General features: G+C 44.5%; 1 pseudogene; it reads right to left on the bottom strand.

The window, feature by feature from the left end:
- Positions 3,370–4,138, bottom strand: NUS1P4 (NUS1 pseudogene 4; annotated as a pseudogene).

Raw genomic sequence — 21,100 nt, forward strand, 5'->3', positions numbered from 1 at the left:
TTTGCTCTTGTTGCCTAGGCTGGAGTGCAATGGCGCGATCTCGGCTCACCGCAACCTCTGCCTCCTGGGTTCAAGCAATTCCCCTGCCTTAGCTTCCTGAGTAGCTGGGATTACAGGCATGTGCCACCATGCCCGGCTAAATTTTTATTTTTAGTAGAGACGAGGTTTCTTCATGTTGATCAGGCTGGTCTCGAACTCCCGATCTCAGGTGATCCGCCAGCCTCAGCCTCCCAAAGTGCTGGGATGATAGGTGTGAGCCACTGCACCCGGCCTGAAAATTTGATAATTAATTTACTGTTGATGGATTTCAGGGTTGTTTCCAGTTTTGGCTATTACAAATAAAGCTGGTGTAAATATTCATTACAAGTCTGTGTATGGACACAGGCTCTCATTTGTTTTGGGTAAACATCTAGGAGTAAAATAGCTGGATCATATGCTGTATGTGTGTTTAACATTTCAAAACATAGAAAATTTGTTTTCCAAATGGCTGTAATTTTTTACAATCCCACCAGCAGTGTATGAGATTTCCATTTGCTCCATATTCTCACCAAAATTTGCTATGGTCATTTATTTCTATTTTTTTGAGATGGAGTCTCGCTCTGTCACCCAGGCTGGAGTGCAGTGGCGCGATCTTGGCTCACTGCAACCTCAGCCTCCCAGGCTCAAGCGATTCTCTTGCCTCAGCCTCCCAAGTAGCTGGGATTAGAGGTGCGTGTCACGTCCAGCTAATTTTTGTATTTTTAGTAGAGATGGGGTTTTGCCATGTTGGCCAGGCTGGTCTGAAACTCCTGATTTCAAGTGATCCACCCACCTCAGCCTCCCAAAGTACTGGGATTACAGGCATGAGCCACCGAGCACGGCCAAGTATTTTTAATTTTAGCAATTCTAATATATGTGTAATGGTATTGCATTGTGGTTTTGTTTTATATTTCCCTGATGACTAAAAATAGCATCTTTTCATGTGTTTACTTGCCATTCATATATCTTCTTTGAATATAAGATAAGATGTCTTTTCAAATCTTTTGTCTGTTTTAAAATTGGTTTTGTAACTTTCTTACTATAGTATTTTGAAAGTGCTTTTGTCTCCTGGATACAAGTCCTATGTCAAACATATTGTTTGCAAATATTTCTTCTTGGTCTATGGCTGGTGTTCTCATTTACTTAATACAGTCTTTCAAAGAGCAGAAGTTTCTAATTTTGGCAAAATCCAATGTATATTTTTTTCTCTTATAGATCATGTATTTAGTATCATACCTTAAAAATCTTTACCTACATTCATGAAGATTTTTTTCTATAAGTTTTAAGTTTAATTAATAGGTTTCATATAGATCTATGATCCATTTTGAGTTAATTTTTGTAAATGGTTCAATGAATCATTGTATCAAGTTTCATTTTACTTGCATATTAATACCCATTTTTTCCCAACACTATTTCTCGAAAACCCTATTGTTTTTCCTCTAAATTGTCTTTGTTTTTTTTTAAAATCATTTTTATTTCATAAAATCATAAATGGGGTTTTGTAACCCAAAGGTGACACATTTATTCTTCATAGCTTCAGAATTTGATAAGCGATTCTAGACCATGCTTTCCAAACCAGTCTTCTTTGCTATTTTTCAAACTTCTGAGATCTAGTATTAAACTGCTTTATTCTAAATGTATGATTTCAGATAACTCTTCTACACTTGTTGATAAGAGTTTTCTGAAAACAGTCTATCAAATATAAAGAATGGTTTCTAAGAATCAGTAGTGACTTAAGAAATATTAAACACCTACTAATAAATCAATTATTCATTTCAAAAATAACAGAACCAGTGCTGTTCTCTGTCATAGAAGAGAACATGTAAAATTAAATTATTTTTATAGACTTTGGTAATATTTTATTCCCCACACAGACCTTCAATCCTACTTAAAGATCTTTGATGCACAGTAACCATCAGGATTTACTGAGTAAAATCCCAGGTATTAACCATGGCCCTAAAATGTGCTATTCCAAAGAGGAAGAGGTTAGCTGATGGAATTTTTTTTTTTTTGAGATGGAGTCTTGCTCTGTTGCCCAGGCTGGAGTGCAGTGGCACCATCTCAGCTCACTGCAACCTCCACCTCCCTGGTTCAAGTGATTCTCCCCTCTCAGCCTCCCAAATAGCTGGGACTACAGGCACTTGCCACCAAGCCTGGCTAATTTTTGTATTTTTAGTAGTGACAGGGTTTCACCACATTGGCCAGGCTGGTCTCGAACTCCTGACCTCTAGTGATCCACCTGCCTTGGCCCCCAAAGTGCTGGGATTACAGGTATGAGCCACCATACCAGCCAGATGAAAATATTTTTTAAATCAACTTCGGGTATAACATGGCATACTGCCCACCAAACAAAAAAGAAAATCTAAATCTTCTTCCTTTTTAGCAGTGCCCACCTTTACTCTGAAGATTACAACATATTCATTCACCTTTTATGCTTGTTTGTTTTTCTGACTGCCTAATCTAACATTTAACTTTTTAAAATTCTGCATTTCAATGTAGTGAGAGTTATTTTTCAAATGATCCTCACAGTCTGGAACCCAGACACCAGAACGACACTCTCAAATCACACTGTTTGACCATAACGAAGAGAAGAAAATGGACTGATATCTGAAGATCTGTATTCCTTCTGTTCTGAAGGTGAGAAAGTTTTTAACATGGGAGAAACACAGAACTTCATTCCTCTGGAGCTCCTTTCAACACAGAATGCGGCCGGGCGTGGTGGCTCACGCCTGTAATCCCAGCACTTTGGGAGGCCGAGGCGGGCAGATCACAAGGTCAGGAGTTCGAGACCAGCCTGACCAACGTGGTGAAACCCCGTCTCTACTAAAAATACAAAAATTAGCCGGGCCTGGTGGCGGGCGCCTGTAATCCCAGCTACTCGGGAGGCTGAGGCAGGAGAATCACTTGAACCTGAGAGACGGAGGTTACAGTGAGCCGAGATCGTGCCACTGCACTCCAGCCTGGGCGACAGAGCCAGACTCCGTCTCAAAAACAACAACAACAACCAACCAACCAGCCAACCAACCAAACAAACAAAAACCTCACAGAATCCTTCAATTCAACAAGTCAATATCCTATTCTTAAAAATTAAAGTTTGGTCACTAAGAAGGACTGAACAAAAATTATTCACCTCCCGCCAGACACAACCAGAGCAGCTCTAATCAGGCCCCCTTCTCCCCACAAAAACAGGAAAGTTGGCGGGGCTGAAGACTTTAAGTGTGACATTTCAGTTCCTACAACATCGCTGCTATTTGCTCCAAGTTCTATGTCTATGTATTTCCCTCTCCAGTACGTCCCCATGTATAAGTTTATTTCCATACATACAAAGGTGCACATATGTGCACTCACGCATGCACACACAGACACACATACACACATTCTCTCAAGTCAGACATCAGACACTTGTGTTTGTTGATAAATTATGAGGATTATGGACTAGGTGTGTACAGGGTTTCATAGGTGCTTTGTGAACATCAGAGTCACTTGAGTCCTTTTCTCTAAAAGCCTAAAATCCAATTATGCAACCAATAACTACTGCTTTTCCTCACGCTGGCCACAGGCTGCATACTGATGTAGGGCAGAGAAAAAGTCGTCATAACTGATGTTTAAGTGGGCAGGCAAAGAGACAATCTCAGTAAATCTGATGTGCCGGGGAAGAAAGCCTAATGTGCTGTCCACAGGACCAAACTTCAATACTAAATCAGGATCAGGAGAACCATTTGAACTAAGTAAACTGCCTAACATAGCTCCTTCCAAATCTGTGGGTCACTTTTGCTTCTGGGCTACTAACTGGCAAAAGTCCTGAGCAGCTCTCAGAATATCTGCTTTTCCATCTACCGGGGACAGCACCTTCACTGCCAAACGGCAATTTAGAACTTGATCACCTTTGTCGTTCCTATTTGCAAACTCTGGTGAGTATTTTGAACAATCTAGGCCCAGAAGTTCTTGCTGCTGTTTTAAAATTTCATCCATCAATATGGAAATATTTCTTTTGAAAAGATTGGTGGCCGTAAACGTGAATGTAGGAGACGGCCACGGCCATACACCACAGCACGAGGCGTGTGATGTCCGAGAAACTCGGCTCTCGTTTCACCGTGGCATCACCAGGCCCATGTGTACATCTAAATTGTTTTCTGAATCGTTGTTGAAAATCAGTTGTTCATATAGGTGTGGTCTATTTCTGTGCACTCCATTCTGTTCCATTGGTCTATTTGTCATATTTATACCAATCCCACATTGTCTTGATGACTGCAGGATTTAATAAGTCTTGAAATCAAGTCGTAGTAGCCTTCCAACTTTGTCCTTCTTCAGAGTTGCTTTGGCTATTCAAGATCCTTTACATGTCTTTCTTTTTTTTTTTTTTTGAGACGGAGTCTCGCTCTGTCGCCCAGGCTGGAGTGCAGTGGCGAGATCTCGGCTCACTGCAAGCTCCGCCTCCCGGGTTCACGCCATTCTCCTGCCTCAGCCTCCCGAGTAGCTGGGACTACAGGCGCCCGCCACCATGCCCGGCTAATTTTTTGTATTTTTAGTAGAGATGGGATTACACCATGTTAGCCAGGATGATCTCCATCTCCTGACCTCGTGATCCACCCACCTCAGCCTCCCAGAGTGCTAGGATTACAGGCGTGAGCCACCGCGCCCGGCTGGTCCTTTACATTTCTATATGAATTTTAAAAGTGGCTTGTCGGCTGGGGGTGGTGGCTCATGCCGGTAATCCCAGCGCTTTGTAAACATCACTTTGTAAACTGCCAAGGCAGGAGGATCACATGAGGCCAGGAGTTCAAGAGCAGCCTGGGAAACATGGTGAAACCCCATCTCTACTAAAAATACAAAAATTATCCTGGTGTGGTGGTGCACGCCTGTAATCCCAGCTACTCAGGAGGCTGAGGCAGGAGAATCGCTCGAATCTGGGAGGTGGAGGTTGCAGTGGCAGAGATTGCACCACCGCACTCCAGATTGGGTGACTGAGACTCCATCTCAAAAAAAAAAAAAAAAAGTGGCTTGTCAAGTTCTGTGAAAAAGTCTGCTGGAATTTTGATTGGGATTACACAGAAAGATGAGCATTTCTGAGAGATGCATCTTCAAAGGTAGGACAGGGTCTAGCTCCAGTATTTAACACTGGCCAATCCTGGGGAATTAATCCAGTGCTCCCTTGACTGGCATTTTGGGGCCATCTTTTGTATAACCAGCTCACACCCAAGTCAGGACACAGCCAGCCTCCCCTCCCTGCTCTTTGGCTAGGTTCACATTTCTGTTTCACTGAATCTCTGCACAGGAGAAGAGAGGCATCTGCAACTCACGAGCTGCTCATTTGCTGGTTAAGTGGGAGCCCCACTGTCACCACCCCACAAAGCACGGACATCAGGGATGGTGAGATTTCTGAACCAGTAAATCCAACTGGCCCCTGGCTGGTCTGTTACTGAGGTATACAAGCCTAATGCCTAGTAGTTTTCTGGATGGAATAGAAAGGTTAAAACTCTACTTAAAACATCAAGCATAGGCCGGGTGCAGTGGCTCACACCTGTAACCCCAGCACTTTGGGAGACTGACGCGGGCGGATCACCTGAGGTCAGGAGTTTGAGACCAGCCTGGCCAACATAGTGAAACCCCATTTCTATTAAAAATACAAAAATTAGCCGGGCATGGTGGCGCACGCCTATAGTCCCAGCTACTTGGGAGGCTGAGACAGGAGAATCGCTTGAACCTGGGAGACAGAAGTTGCAGTGAGCTGAGACTGTGACACTATACTCCAGCTTGGGTGACAGAGTGAGACTCTGTCTCAGAAAAAAAAAAAAAAATCAAGCATGAAACAACTCCGCCTTTGTCTATTAAGCTTACACCATTTTCCAAAGAACACATTTTTTCATCCTGGTAAACAGAAGTCCTTGCTATTGCTCTGAGATGGGACAAGGACACTAGACTACTTTTTAAAATCCAGTCTAAACTCTCTAATGCAAATCCAGCTATGATTTCTTTCCTTTTCCTTCCTCCCTTCCTCCCTTTCTTTCATTCCTTCCTTCCTTCCTTCTTTCTTTCTCTTTCTTTCTTTCTCTCTCTCTCTCTCTCTCTTTCTTTCTTTCTTTCTCTTGCCAGAGTTTCTGCTCTTGTCCAAGCTGGAGTGCAATGTTGCAATCTCAGCTCACTGCAACCTCCGCCTCCCTGGTTGAAGTGATTCTGCTGCCTCAGCCACCCAAGTAGCTGGGATTACAGGCACCCACCACCATGCCTGGCTAATTTTTTTGTATTTTTAGTAGAAACGGAGTTTCACCATGTTAGCCATGCTGGTCTCGAACTCCTGACCTTTGGTCATCCACCTGCTTCGGCCTCCCAAAGTGCTGGGATTACAGGTGTGAGCCACCGGGCATGGCCTGGCTATGATTTCTTAAGGAGGACAAGAGGGGGAAAACCTGTCCATTTTCCTAAACTACTCTGTCTACACAATCCCTCCTTGGTCCCTCACACGAAGCACTTACAGTCTATCCGAGGTCCTGACTTGGGGAACTGACAGGATGCTCCAGAAAGAGACAGAGGCATATCGTCGGGGCCACTCTTCGGATGCTTCAAAATCTGTTTCTTTCTGTTTGCAAATGACCCTGTGTCTAACTATCATGGCATTCGTGATCCTGCTATTGTTCTATTAATCCACAGTAATCATCTTAATGTGTGAAATCCAAACATGTTATGTAGGAAGTAGTATCACTGGGAACTGAGAAATAGATTTTTTTGGATCACAAAAGCAGCATGAAGAGGATTTATAGAAAAGTTGCTGTAAGCTGCTGTGGTTACAGTTTAGGAAATGTGGTTATTTGAATAATCATTTGAGCCTATTTTTTCTCTTAAATACTGGGAAGGGGATTGGGGCCAGTATTGCCTTCTGCTGAAGTTGTTAGCTGTCCTCCCTCACTGGCCAGCGAAGGAGGGCCTCCAAGGGAAGCCTCTGCCCTGGGTATCTTGCTGGTTAAGCTATTTCTTGGTACCAGCCTTACTCTTCATGAATCTTCTCTTTATTCATTCAGTTCCCTGGGGATTCCATCTGATTTCCTTTCCCCTTCACATCTTTTATTAATTACCCCTTAAAGTTCTTCTTCCAAAACCAATTGCAAAGTGGGAAAGAATGTGACAGTTTCTCTTCTCCTTGCTCTCCTTCATTCTCTTATTCACAAATATTTACTGAACACCTATGATGTGTTTCTCAATGTTTGAGTCAGACTCCATCTCTGTCCTGGTGAAAATGACAAGAGTGAGGCAGACAGATATTAAACGAGCAGACAACAATATGTACTTGAACGGTATTATTACATTTTAACATTTCTGAAATTGAAATGCATCTTATAGGTGATGATAATGAGAGAGAGAGACAGAGACAGAGAGAGGAGAACCTCCAAGTTAGAGGAGAGCAGTGTAATATAGTTATTCTTTAACACTTTTAGGTTTTACCTCTGCCATTTGACTGAATGCGTCTAAATAATTTGCTGAAGCTGCTGTCTTATGTTTCTTTCCTCCCAGAGGCAGAGCTTGGGACAAGGGCTTGCATATGGGTGGTTTATTTGGACTAGTGATCCTAGAGAACAGGAGTAAGGGACTGTGCAATGTGGAGGAGGGAAAGCCAATGTCAGGTGCTTGATGAGTCAGTTGGCACATGGGCAAGTGGGGTTCAATCCTTCTGGAGCCTTCTGATGGGCGATGTAGAACAGGCTCGAGAATTGTCCACCCTAGAGGTAGAAGGGGAAGCATTTATCCACCAGCTTTACGTTTCCACATGCATGGGTACCGCACTGCAGAGCTGGAGAAGTCTAGCTATGTGAGGCAGCTGCGGTGAGGTGTGTTCAGATTACACCTGCTGCTGGGGCAATGCTTGGAGACAGTGGTGGGCTGAGAAGAGGAGATGCAGCAGAACAAATGTTTGATACAGGCCAGGCGTGGTGGCTCATACCTGTAATCCCAGCACTTTGGAAAGCCAAGGTGGGCAGATCATCTGAGGTCAGGAGTTCAAAACCAGCCTGCCCAACATGGTAAAACCCCATCTCTACTAAAGTACAAAAATTAGCTGGGCATGGTGGCATGTGCCTGTAGTCCCAGCTACTAGGGAGGCTGAGGCAGGAGAATTGCTTGAACCTGGGAGGCAGAGGTTGTAGTGAGCTGAGACCACACCTCTGCACTCCAGCCTGTGTGACAGAGCGAGACCCTGCCTCAAAAAAAAAAAAAAAAAAAAAAAAAAGTTCAATACGATCGCTATTCTTTTCTCCTATTTGCTAAGAATGTTCATAGGAACTTTCTTCACAATAGCCCCAATCTGGAAACAATCCTGAAGTCCATCAACAGGAGAATGCATAAACAAATTGTGGTATATTTGTCCATTGAAATCCTGCTGAGCCACAAAGAGAATGGACCACTGATACATGCAACAACATGAGTGACTCTTACAGACATTATGCTAAACAAAAGAAGGTGGAAACAAAAGAGTACATACTGTAAGGTTCTACTTTTTTTTTTTTTTTAAGAGACAGGGTCTCACTCTGTCACCCAGACTAGAGTGCAGTGGTGCAATCATGGCTCACTGCAGCCTTGAACTCCTAGGCTCATGTGATCCTCCCACCTCGACTTCATAAGTAGCTGGGACTACAGCCACACACCACCTCACCTGGATAATTTTTTTTACAAAAATAGAGATAGGGTCTTGCTATGTTGCCCAAGCTGGTCTCAAAGTCCTGGCCTCAAGTGATCCTCCAGCTTCAGCCTCCCAAAGTGCTGAGATTACAGGCATGAGCCACTGTACCCGGCCTATAAGATTCCACTTACATAAGTTAAAGAACAGGCAGGCCGGCCATGGTGGCTCATACCTGTAATCCCAGCACTTTGGGAGGCTGAGTTGGGCAGGTCACTTGAGCTCAGGAGTTCAAGACCAGCCTGGGCAACATGGCAAAACCCCATCTCTAATATGAAAATTAGCTGGGCATGGTGGCACGCACCTGTAGTCCCAGCTACTTGGGAGGCTGAGGTTGGGGGATTGCTTGAGCACAGGAGGTTGAGGCTGCAGTGAGCCAAGATTGCATCACTGCACTCCAGCCTGGGTAACAGAGCAAACACTGTTTCAAAAAAAAAAAAAAAAAAAGGCAGGCCAGGCATGGTAGCTAATGCTTGTATTTGTATGCTTGTATTTGTTTTCTTTTCTTTTTTTTTTTTTTTTGAGACAGAGTTTTGCTCTTGTTGCCCAGGCTGGAGTGCAATGGCGCCATCTCAGGCTCACTGCAACCTCCGCCTCCCAGGTTCAAGCGATTCTCCTGCCTCAGCCTCCCAAGTAGCTGGGATTACAGGCATGCACCACCACACCCGGCTAATTTTGTATTTTTAGTAGAGACGGGGTTTCTCCATGTTGGTCAGGCTGGTCTCAAACTCCCAACCACAGGTGATCTGCCTGCCTCGGCCTCCCAAAGTCTTGGGATTATAGGAATGAGCCACCACGCCCGGCTAATGCTTGTAATCCCAGCACTCTGGGATGCCAAGTTGGGTGAATCACCTGAGGTCAGGAGTTCAAGACCAGCCTGGCCAACATGGCGAAACCCCATCTCTACTAAAAATACAAAAATTATCTGGGCATGGTGGTGTGCACCTGTAGTCCCAGCTACTCAGGAGACCGAGGCAGGAGAATTGCTTGAACCCGGGAGGCAGAGGTTGCAGTGAGACGAGATTGTACCACTGCAGGCATTCCAGCCTGGGCAATAGAGCAAGACTCCATCACAAAAAAAAAAAAAAAAAAAAGAGCAGGCAAAACTAATCCATCGAAGGGGAGGTGATTAGAGCAGTGGCTGTCTCTGGTAGAGTATAGGGATTAACTGCAAAGAAGTGTGAGAGAACTTCCTGAGATGATAGAAATTGTTCATATTTTAATAAGTATGTGGATTATATGGTTTATGCAGTCATCAAAACTCATTGAATTGTATGCTCTCTTTATTTCTTTATATATATAAAAAGAGAGAGAGTATATATATAAAAAATTGTATGTGCGCTCTCTGTCTCTCTCTCTATATATATGTACATTTTACCTTAGAAAAAGAGCTATAAAGAAATAGTTAACTCTAGGTAGTAGACTCACTTCTCGCAGTGGTAAAACTTAACTCTGAAAGTATTTTCTGTGTCCTCAAGTCTCTAGCAGATGAATAGTGTATATTTAGGATAATGAGAACTAGGCTTCTTGCTCTTGTAAAAGGGCATTATAAATATGGACAGAGTGAAGACTAGAATGTACCTGTGGTGTTGGATGTATCCATATGAACACATGGTTTTCTGTGGATTAATAGAGACAGAGACAGACCTATGTATATATGTTTATGTGTGATGCACACACATGCACACACACACACACACACACCATTTCCTAGCTCTATCTGCTGAAAGAGCCTAGAAGCAATGACACACCAGGAAGAATGAGCTTGCTAAGAATCGGAATCTTGGTTTCTAGATACCATTCTCTACCAAAAGAAACCAGAGCTCTTTTTAGAAATGGCTGGCTCTAGGGCTGGGGCAGGGGAAGTACAAAATGACCCTGAAACATATTAGATAAGACAGTAGCTCCAAGGCTGATGGAGAGTATCAAAAAGACAGTGGAGCCAACTTGAAGGAGTCCCCAGTGGTCAAACGTTGGGGCAGCTTGAGCATAAAAATAAACAGTGATAGTAATGGAAATTAGTAGTCGCGGAACCCATGATGAACTAAATTGAAATGATGCTAAACTAAGAGCATTCATCAATAAAATGAAGCATGACTGGAGTAGCAGCAATTGGAGACAGCATCATTAATATCCAGATAAACAGCATCCTTTCCCTGAACTGCAGGATCCCAACAATCCAAGTATGCACAAGGGCAGCCAAGTCACCAAGAACTTGAAGCCGCCAGTTAGACTTCTGCAAAGTACCCTGGCTTAGAATCCGCCAGGCGCGGTGGCTCACACCTGTAATCCCAGCACTTTGGGAGGCTGAAGCGGACAGATCATGAGGACGGAAGTTTGAGACCAGCCTGGCCAACACCGTGAAAGCCCGTCTCTACTAAAAATACGAAAAATCAGCTGGGCATGGTGGCGCACGCCTGTAGTCCCAGCTACTTGAGAGGCTGAGGCAGGAGAATTGCTTGAACCTGGGAGGTGGAGGTTGCAGTGAGCCAAGATCACACCATTGCACTCCAGCCTGGGCAACAGTGCAAGATTTCATCTCAAAAAAAAAAAGAATCCTCCGTGTTAATTCTAGTCGCTTCTAACCCTAGTACCAGTAACTACAGCATACTTAGTAGCTGTAGGAGGTATGAATCTTGACTCACAAACTCAGAGTGTACATAAAGTATCAATTTCTTTGTTTTCATTATATCAAACTAAATCTTTCAACTCCTCAGCCTCCTAGGCTGGGAGAAAATTACATTGTCATTGGCGTTGAGGTCTCTTCTCTTCCTGGCTCTCAATGGAAGTTGGACATTCTCTGTGGTGCCTAAAACAGGCAAGACACCATCCTATGTTTTGTGTTCTCTTTATCTTCACTCTTTCTCTCTTTTTATTTTTAGATGGGGTCCCTTTTTGTCACCCAGGCTGGAGTAAAGTGGTACAATCATGGCCCACCGCAGCCTTGACCTCCTGGGCTTAGGCAATCCTCCCACCTCAGCCTCTTGAGTAGCTGGGACTAGAGGTGCATGCCACCATGTCTGGCTAATTTTATTTTATTTTTATTTTGACACGGAGTCTCAGTCTGTTGCCCAGGCTGGAGTGCAGTGGTACAATCTCGGCTCACTGCAACTTCTCCCTCCCGGATTCAAGCGATTCTCTTACCTCAGCCTCCCAAGGAGCTGGGATGACAGGCACGCACCACCCTGCTTGGCTAATTTTTGTATTTTTAGTAGAGATGGGGTTTCACCATGTTGGCCAGGCTGGTCTCGAACTCCTGACCTCCTGCTTCGGCCTCCCAAAGTGTTGGGATTACAGGCGTGAGCCATTATACCCAGCCTTATCTTCATTTTTTATACCCACCAATGTTTCTTTCAGTCTGGCTGTTCTCTGCTTCCTTGAGGCTGGGAGCCCTATGGTTGGGGCCCCACTCACCAAGTCAGCCCCTCTGAAATCTTCACACTCCCTCTGGGAGAAGCAGAGGGCAAAGCCCACTGGCTGGAAGGAATCCCTCCTGCTGCCTTTTCTTGCCTTAAAGGCAAAATGCTTCTCTCTCATTGGTGTCCTCAAAAGAGGAGCACATTATCTCCTTCGTAAACTCCAATTTTAGAAAAATAAAGCCCAGGAAAAAAGCATTTTAAAAGTAATTTCACCTTATCAGAGTAGCCCCCAACTTCCTCTGAGGCACAGGGTTAGTGGGGGACATGGGGGAGCACACAGGTCCTGCCTATTTTGGGATAGAGAGGAGAAGTGTTGGAAAAAATATTCCAAGAAACGGCCCTGTCACGTAGATCATAGGTGATCCTAGCTGTTTGTAAAGTGAAAACGTATGGCTTGTGTATTAATCACGTAGAAGAATCGAGAGAGGGCTGGGTGCAGTGGGTCATGCCTATAATCCCAGTGCTTTGGAAGGCCGCGGTGGGGGAGGATCGATTGAGGCCCAGAGTTCAAGACCAGCCTGGGCAACATAGTGAGTCCCTGCCTCCATAAAAAATAAAATAAAAACCGGCCTAGCATGGTGGCTCCCAACTGTAGTCTCAGCTACTCAGGAGGCTGAGATGGGAGGATTGCTTGAGCTCAGCAGTTCAAGATTTCTGTGAACTATGATCATGCCACTGCACTGCAGCCTGGGTGACAGATTGAGACCCTGTCTCTCATAACAATAATAATAATAATAAAAGAGAGGGTATGAGTTTTTAAATCAGTTTTAGGTCCATTAGGGGAACTTTGTGGTCCACTGATGAGCCCTGATCTTTCTTTGAGAATCCTTATCTGGTCCCTTCTTCTATTCATGGAAGACACACATCATGACATCCCTCACACGGCAGTCACCCAGCTCCTGCTTGAACATGTCTGGGCACAGAAGCAGCTGCCTCCCAGGCCTTTCTAAACAGCTCCCATTGAAGGCAGCTTCTGCCTCTTTAACGTCTATTCACTGATCCAGCTTTCACCCTTTGGAGCGTTCCTGAGTTTGTCTAGTTTACTAGCAGTGGTTCCAGAGACATGATTTTAAAGTTTTTGCAGGACTCTGGGGTATCATCTGCTTGAGTCTTAAACTCATTTAAAACATCTATTTTTATTTTTATTTATTTATTTATTTTTTTTTGAGACAAGGTCTTTCTCAGGCTGGAGTGCAGTGGCATGATCTCGGTTCACCGAAACCTCCGCCTCCCAGGTTCAAGTGATTCTCGTGTCTCAGCCTCCCAAGTAGCTGGGATTATAGACGCGTGCCACCACGCCCAGCTTATTTTTGTATTTTCTGTAGAGACAGGGTTTCACCATGTTGGCCAGGCTTGTCTCGATCTCAAGTGATCTGTCCACCTCAGCCTCCCAAAGTGTTGGGATTACAGGCATGAGCCACCGTGACTGGCTTCATTTAAAACATCCAGATCATCTCTTGTGAACTCTATCTAGGACTTTATGCCCTCTTAGGGATGTGTGTTCTCTTCATTCTAGTTGGAAAATTTTTATTTAAAAAAACTAAATGGGGTTGGGCGTGGTGGCTCACGCCTGTAATCCCAGCACTTTGGGAGGCAGAGATGGGTTGATCACGAGGTCAGGAGATCGAGACCATCCTAGCTAACATGGTGAAACCCCATCTCTACTAAAAATACAAAAAAATTAGCCGGGCGTGGTGGCGGGCACCTGTAGCCTCAGCTACTCGGGAGGCTGAGGCAGGAGAATGGCATGAACCCGGGAGGCGGAGGTTGCAGTGAGCTGAGATCATGCCACTGCACTCCAGCCTAGGCGACGGAGAGAGACTCCGTCTAAAAAAAAAAAAAATGCTAAATGGAAATGAAATAGTTCTACTTTTTTCTCTCATTGCCTTACACAAACAGTGGAAGTTTCTACTCATGTAAATTCCTGGACGAGATAGATTGTTAGACTCTGGGTACCAGTTCCATATTCCCAAGAGGGAGAATCTATTGGCTTGCTTTAAAGCTTGGACGTCTTTTACAAAAATAGAGAAAAGATGGCCAAGAGAAGAAAAAGCCAATAAACCTAGCACCCAGACCCCTTCATTTATAATGGATAAACAGAAGTATAATCATGTATACCAAACATTCCACTGGCGGGCTGGGCGTGGCAGCTCATGCCTGTAATCCCAACACTTTGGGAGGCCAAGGTGGGCAGATCACCTGAAGTCAGGAGTTTGAGACCAGCCTGGCCAATGTGGCGAAACCCTGTCTCCACTAAAAATACAAAAATTAGCTGGGCATGGTGTTGAGCGCCTGTAATCCCAGGTACTCAGGAGGCTGAGGCAGGAGGATCACTTGAATCAGGGAGGTGGAGGTTGCAGTGAGCTGAGATTGCACCACTGCACTCCAGCCTGGGCAACAAAGAGTGAAACTCCATCTCAAAAAAAAAAAGAACCTGCCTTTTCCTCTTAACAATATGCCTGGTAAGGCCAGCTTTCCCACGCTCACCACTGAACATGATCCCCAGGCATAAGCAGCAAGTAACCTCTTCATTATTCTTCCTATTCAAATACATCTATTTTTATAAGCTCTTGAATAGTTTGTTCTTTGGGTTTTTGGGACTATTTGTTCAGTCCCATAACCATCGTTTATTTGATTCTGTGTGCCTCCTTCTGTCTGTGTACACATTCTTTATCATCTGTCCTTGGTGTTGTCACCCATGCATGATCCTGCTGTCTTTAGATATTTTCCCATTTCTTTCTCAAAAAAGAGCATCGCTTGTCATTGCTTCTTCAGAATTTTGCTTTTGTGAAGACTTCGTTCCTCTTGAGCCAACTAATCTTTGGAGTGAGATCTATTTCTTTCCCCTGGACATTTTTTTTTTGAGACAGAGTTTGACTTTGTTGCCCAGCCTGGAGTGCAATGGTGTGATCTCGGCTCACCGCAACCTCTACCTCCTGGGTTCAAGTGATTCTCCTACCTCAGCCTCCCGAGTAGCTGGGATTACAGGCATGCACCACCGCGCCCGGCTAATTTTTTGTATTTTTAATAGAGACGGGGTTTCTCCACGTTGGTCAGGCTGATCTTGACCTCTCAACCTCAGGTGATCCGCCCGCCTTAGCCTCTCAAAGTGCTGGGATTACAGGCGTGAGCCACCGTGCCCAGCCTCCCCTGGACATTTTTGACATCTGCTTGGCTGAACCCAGAGCAGGGGATCCAACTCCAAGTGGGCCAGGCCAGGCCTATCCTGGCGCTTTCTGATAATCTGTTGTTTTGCCCATTCCTCTGCCCAGATATAGCAACACACACACACACACACACACACACACACACACACACACACACTGAGACCCTACAGTCAATGGCTCAATGGTTGCCCTAGCGACTATCGTTGGCTTCTTGGTCACAGCAGGCAGTTGAACTGGGGCAAAGACATCTGGTTCAAATCAAGCCAATAGATTTTCTCTCCTGGGAATATGGTACCTTGACTCAGAGTCTATCAGTCTGTCTCTTCAAGGAATTTACATGAGAAACCTCATCTCTACTAAAAATACAAAAAGTAGCTGGGCATGGTAGTGAAGTTTGCAATGAGCCAAGATTGCACTAGTGCACTCCAGCCTGGGTGACAGAGTGAGACTCTGTCTCAAAAAAAAAAAAAAAAAAAAAAAATTGGCAAGCGAGCCCAGATGCATGCAGGTAGCAGAGGAAGCTGCTTTTCAGAGACAGAGGAGAACAAAGCAGATGCAGAAAAGGAGGCAGTGTTGCCCTAGCAGACAGAGCTGCCGCCTTGCCCAGATCCCCTCGGCTCTCATTCACCAGCTTCGTGCATGCTCACAGCCCAGTTCCTGCAAACTCTGTCATTCATGGCCCTCGCCAGCGACTTTCTGAGGATTGCCTTTGGGTGTTGCAGGCATCCCACCCACATGGAGAGCTAGATTCCCCCAGGAGTTTTCTCTTCTCCCCATTACCTCCAGCCCCACCCCTACCCATGGCTGTGACCCTCAGCTGGCTGGTGTGCAAGTGAAAAGGTCCAGCTCCATTGCTTGAGGCAGCACATACCCTGAGGTCTCATTGACACTCCTGAGCTCCCCATTCCCACACTCCTTCACCAGTTTCCCCTGGGAGCACCTCCCTGGAGCATCTCACTTCCACCCGAATCCCTGGCATTTAGGAGAACAGATGTGAAACCAGGCGGCCCAGAGGAATGGAGGCAGTGCCCTGGGCCTGAAGATTGCTAGTTCTCGTCCAGGTCCCTTGGGAGACCCAAAGCTCTTCCAGTTTGTGGCTTCTATGACATACTCCTCAATCTTCAACCAGCTTCCTATGTGGGTTAAATTTCAACCAGCCCATTTCTAAAAACCTTGCTGCAGGCACCCAGCATTCCCCCAGGGCCAGCATCATCTCATCTCCCAGAGGTCTCGGTCTTTCACCGCAACCACTGATTTCCAATTGCCCAGCATCTGGGAGATGAAATTATCAGCAAGGCACGTTTAGAATTTATCAGATGCTTTTCCTGGAAGGTGGTTTCCAGTAGGATTTCTAGACCTTTAAATCACTCATCACGGCTATTTTTGGCCCTGTGTATGCTTTTGCATTTATTTCTAGACATTTAAAGATGAAATATACATTTATTTACATAAAATAAATAGAAATTTAATATAAATATTTTATAAGTAAATCTGTATTACATAGGTGTGTATTATTCTTGTCCTAGAACAAAATTTTTACTATAATTAATGGCTTTAAAAATATTCTTTTAACGGAAAGTTCATGTCTTTTGCCCACTTATCCAAAAGTCTATTTATAGAAAAAAAACAAGCCCACGTTCCTTATTTGGTATCTGTGCTTCTTCCTTCTTCTACTCTAGCCTGCCTGAAAGATATTTTTGTTGCTGATATGAAGGGGTTTTTTTTGTTGTTGTTCTTTCCTAAAAGCCATGGACTTCATTAGATATTAATTATCAGGTTCCTCCCTGGCTGTGATGAAAAGTAATATTGCTTAATAGACTTTTCTGTCTATAGAGTAGCTGTTTCCATTATAAAGAGAATACATTATACAACAATTATCAATATAGAAAATCAGAAAGAAATGAGGGAAATCACCCTTAGACCTGCCAGAAGCCATATTTCCAAATAAGTACCTCACTTCCCAGGCTTCAGCATCCTTCTTAATGAAATAAGGGAGTTGACCCAAAAGACCCCAGTGATTCTTCAAAATACTCAAAAAGAACATACTGGGGCTGGGTGCGGTGGCTCACGCCTGTAATCCCAGCACTTTGGGAGGCCGAGGTGGGCGGATCACAAGGTCAAGAGATCGAGACCATCTGGGCCAACATGGTGAAACCCCCTCTCTACTAAAAATACAAAAAAAAAAAATTACCTGGGTATGGTGGTACATGCCTGTAGTCCCCAGCTACTCAGGAGGCTGAGGCAGCAGAGTTGCTTGAACCTGGGAGGCAGAGGTTGCAGTGAGCCGAGATTACACGCCACTGCACTCCAGCCTGGTGACAGAGCGAGATTCTGTCTCAAAAAAAAAAAAAAAAAAGATCCTGGAAGGAAACATTGGCCACGTGTTGACTTGGAGAAGCACAGGACTAGAAACCAGTTCTCATTCCTCATCCAGTCCTTTTCCTTTTTCTGTAGGGCTTTCTTCTTTTCCACGTTCTCCCCAACTGTCTCTTTTGTTTCCAGCTGTTCCTGTTTTTTTGTTTTTGTTTTTTTTTTTGAAAGAGTTTCATTCTGTCACCCAGGCTGGAGTACAATGGCATGATCTCGGCTCACTGCAACCTCTGCCTCCTAGGTTCAAGCAGTTCTCCTGCCTCAGCTTTCTGAGTAGCTGGGATTACAGGTGCCTGCCACCACACCCGGCTAGTTTTTGTATGTTTAGTAGAAACAGGGTTTCACCATGTTGGCCAGGCTTTTCTCGAACTCCTGACCTCAAGTGATCCCTCCGTCTCAGCCTGCCAAAGTGCTGGGATTATAGGTGTGAGCTACCACACCCAGCCTCCAGCTGTTATTTTGATTCCCTGATCATCTTTTGACACAATGCTTAGGGGTTCCAAACATGTTCATCCAGCACTCCCAGATCACTGGACTTTATTTTGTCACATGCTGACCACAGGTCCAGAGGGCCCTTTGCGTAGCACCTGCATGTAATAAGGTATCAGTACATGCTTGCTAAGTGGCTGGATAATCAAAAGCAGAGAAAATATACAGAAGTTGACCGGGTGCGATGGCTCATGCCTGCAATCCCAGCACTTTGGGAGGCCAAGGCAGATGGATCACTTGAGGTCAGGAGTTCGAGATCAACCTGGCCAACATGGCGAAACCATCTCTACTAAATATATATATATTTAAATTAGCCAGGCATGCTGGTGTGCCTGTAATCCCAGCTACTTGCACGGCTGAGGCAGGAGAATCACTTGAACCCAGGAGGCAGAGGTTACAATGAGCTGAGATCGTGCCAATGCATTACAGCCTGGGCAACAAAGCAAGACTCTGTCTCAAAAATAATTTATATATACATTTTATTTATATATAAATTTTATTATATGACATATTTATATATAAATACAATGTATATATAAATAAAATTTATATATATAAAAATTTATACATATACAAATAAAATTTATACATATATATGTCATTTGTAATTCAGTCATCATGACAATTCCAAAATGGAGGTGCTACAGCACAGTACTGATTTCAGTAACTCTAGTGGGAAGTACACTTTTTTTTTTCTTGGAGACAGAGTTCTACTCTGTCTCCCAGGCTGGAGTACAGTGACCCAGTCACAGCTCACTGCAGCCTTTAATGCCTGGGCTCAGTGGGATCCTCCTGCCTCAGCCTCCTGAGTAGCTGGACTACAGGTGTAAGCTACCATGCCTAACCAAAAATAGACATCTTTTTTCACTAACATCTCAGAATGCTGGCGCTTCTTACTATTTTTGGCATTTTACAATTGGCATTGGCCAGGCAGTAAGTGGTCGTTTTTGCCTGTGCATGCACAAATTTGGTCATTACTGTTAATATTATCATTTCAACTTAGTGATGAGCATTGTTGGGACCACATGTGTCGAGCTTGACATTTTATGTTTTCAAAAAATATTGCACTATTATTCAGCCTTGTAATGAAAATACAGTCAATGCAGAAAAACATACAAATAGAGCCGGAGGCCGGGCACAGTGGCTCACACTTATAATCCCAGTGCTTTGGGAGGCTGAGGCAGGAGGATCGCCTGAGGCCAGGAGTTTGAGACCAGCCTGGGCATCACAGTGAAACCTTATCTCAACAAAAAATTTTACAATTAGCCAGTTATGGTGGTACATGCCTGTAGTTCTAGCTACTCAGGAGGTTGAGGCTAGAAAACCACTTAAGCCAAAACATAGAGGCTACAGTGAGATGTGATTGTGCCACTGTGCTGCACCCCAGCCTGAGTGACAGAGTGAGACTTTATTGAAAGAAGGAAAAGAAAGTGGAAAGGAGAGGAGAGGAGGGGGACGGGGATGGGAGTGGGGAGGGGAGAGGAGGGGAGGGGGGAGGAGAGAGGAGGGGAGATGAGGGGAGGGGAGGGGGAGGAGGGGAGGGGAGGGGGAGGGAAAGGAGGGAAAGGGAGGCAAGGAGAGGAGAGGGAAGGAAGCTGGAAACTTGTCATTGGAGAAATGATTGCATTTGTACATTTTCTTGTGAAACAACCACCAAGGGCTTTATGCACCCAGAAAATGAAGATTCCCCCCAAAGGTAGATGAAGCTATATCACCTTTAGTTACTGACATATGTGCAAAAAAACTGCCCATTACATACCAAACAGTGCAATAGGAGCAAGGAGAAACTGCCAGATCTCTGGTGCAGATGAAAGAAATTTCAAGGCAAGGAGAGGCTAGTGTGGCCAATTCATACATTACATAGGGCTATGGTTTCAGGCAACATGCCAAAGTTTAATTAGCAGCACTTGTCTTTCTTAGAAGTAAAGAAATAATGTATGCCTTTAAGGAAAGGCATCTTATATTTGATTAAATATATTCCTCCATTTTGCAGGTTAAAAAATTGAAGATTAAAGAAATGAATTTGCCCATTTCACAATGTCAGTAAGTTATAGAACCAAGAGTCAAATCCCAGCCAGTCTGATTCTAGATCTCACAGTCATAATTGCAAAACTGCCCCTCACTGCACTTAGCATGGTGCCTGGTAAAATAAATATTTGTCAATGCAAACTAAACTGTCTAAAGAAGATGTATTCCTGGTGAGAAATAATCAAATACATGGAGAACTTTTCTAAACATGGAAACATCATTCTGGTAGGAGAAGAACTCAGCGCACAGTTGCTTCCGAAGCTCTGAGCCCAGGAATAAACTGGAAAGCCAGAGGACTGCATTTTCACCTATAGTCTCTAGTCCAGACCCCTGCAGACACCAGGGATGGGGGCCAAGGGTCATACTCTTGGGCCTCTGGCTTGGAATTTTTTTTTTTCTTTTTTTAAGACAGAGTCTCACTCTGTTGCCCAGGCTAGGGTGCAGTGGCACGATCTCAGCTCACTGCAACCCCTGCCTCCTGGGTTCAAGTGATTCTCCTGCCTCAGCTCCCAAGTAGCTGGGATTACAAGTGCCTGCCATCACACGTGGTTAATTTTTTTTTTTTTTTTTTCTGAGACGGAGTCTTGCTTTGTTGCCCAGGCTGGAATGCAGTGGCGCAATCTCAGCTCACTGCAACCTCCACCTCTTGGGTTCAAGTGATTCTCCTGCCTCACTCTCCCAAGTAGCTGGGACTACAGGCACCTGCCACCACACCTGGCTAATTTTTGTATTTGTAGTAGAGATAGGGTTTCACTATGTTGGCCAGGCTGCTCTCAAACTCCTGACCTCATGATCCACCTGCCTTGGCCTCCCAAAGTGCTGGGATTATAGGCGTGAGCCACTGCGTCTGACCAATTTTTGTATTTTTGGTAGAGACACGTTTTCACTATGTTGGCCAGGCTGGTCTTTAACTCCTGACCTCAAGTGATTTGCCCGTCTTGGCC

Source organism: Homo sapiens, chromosome 13, assembly GCF_000001405.40.
Source record: "Homo sapiens chromosome 13, GRCh38.p14 Primary Assembly".
Classification (NCBI taxonomy): Eukaryota; Metazoa; Chordata; class Mammalia; order Primates; family Hominidae; genus Homo; species Homo sapiens.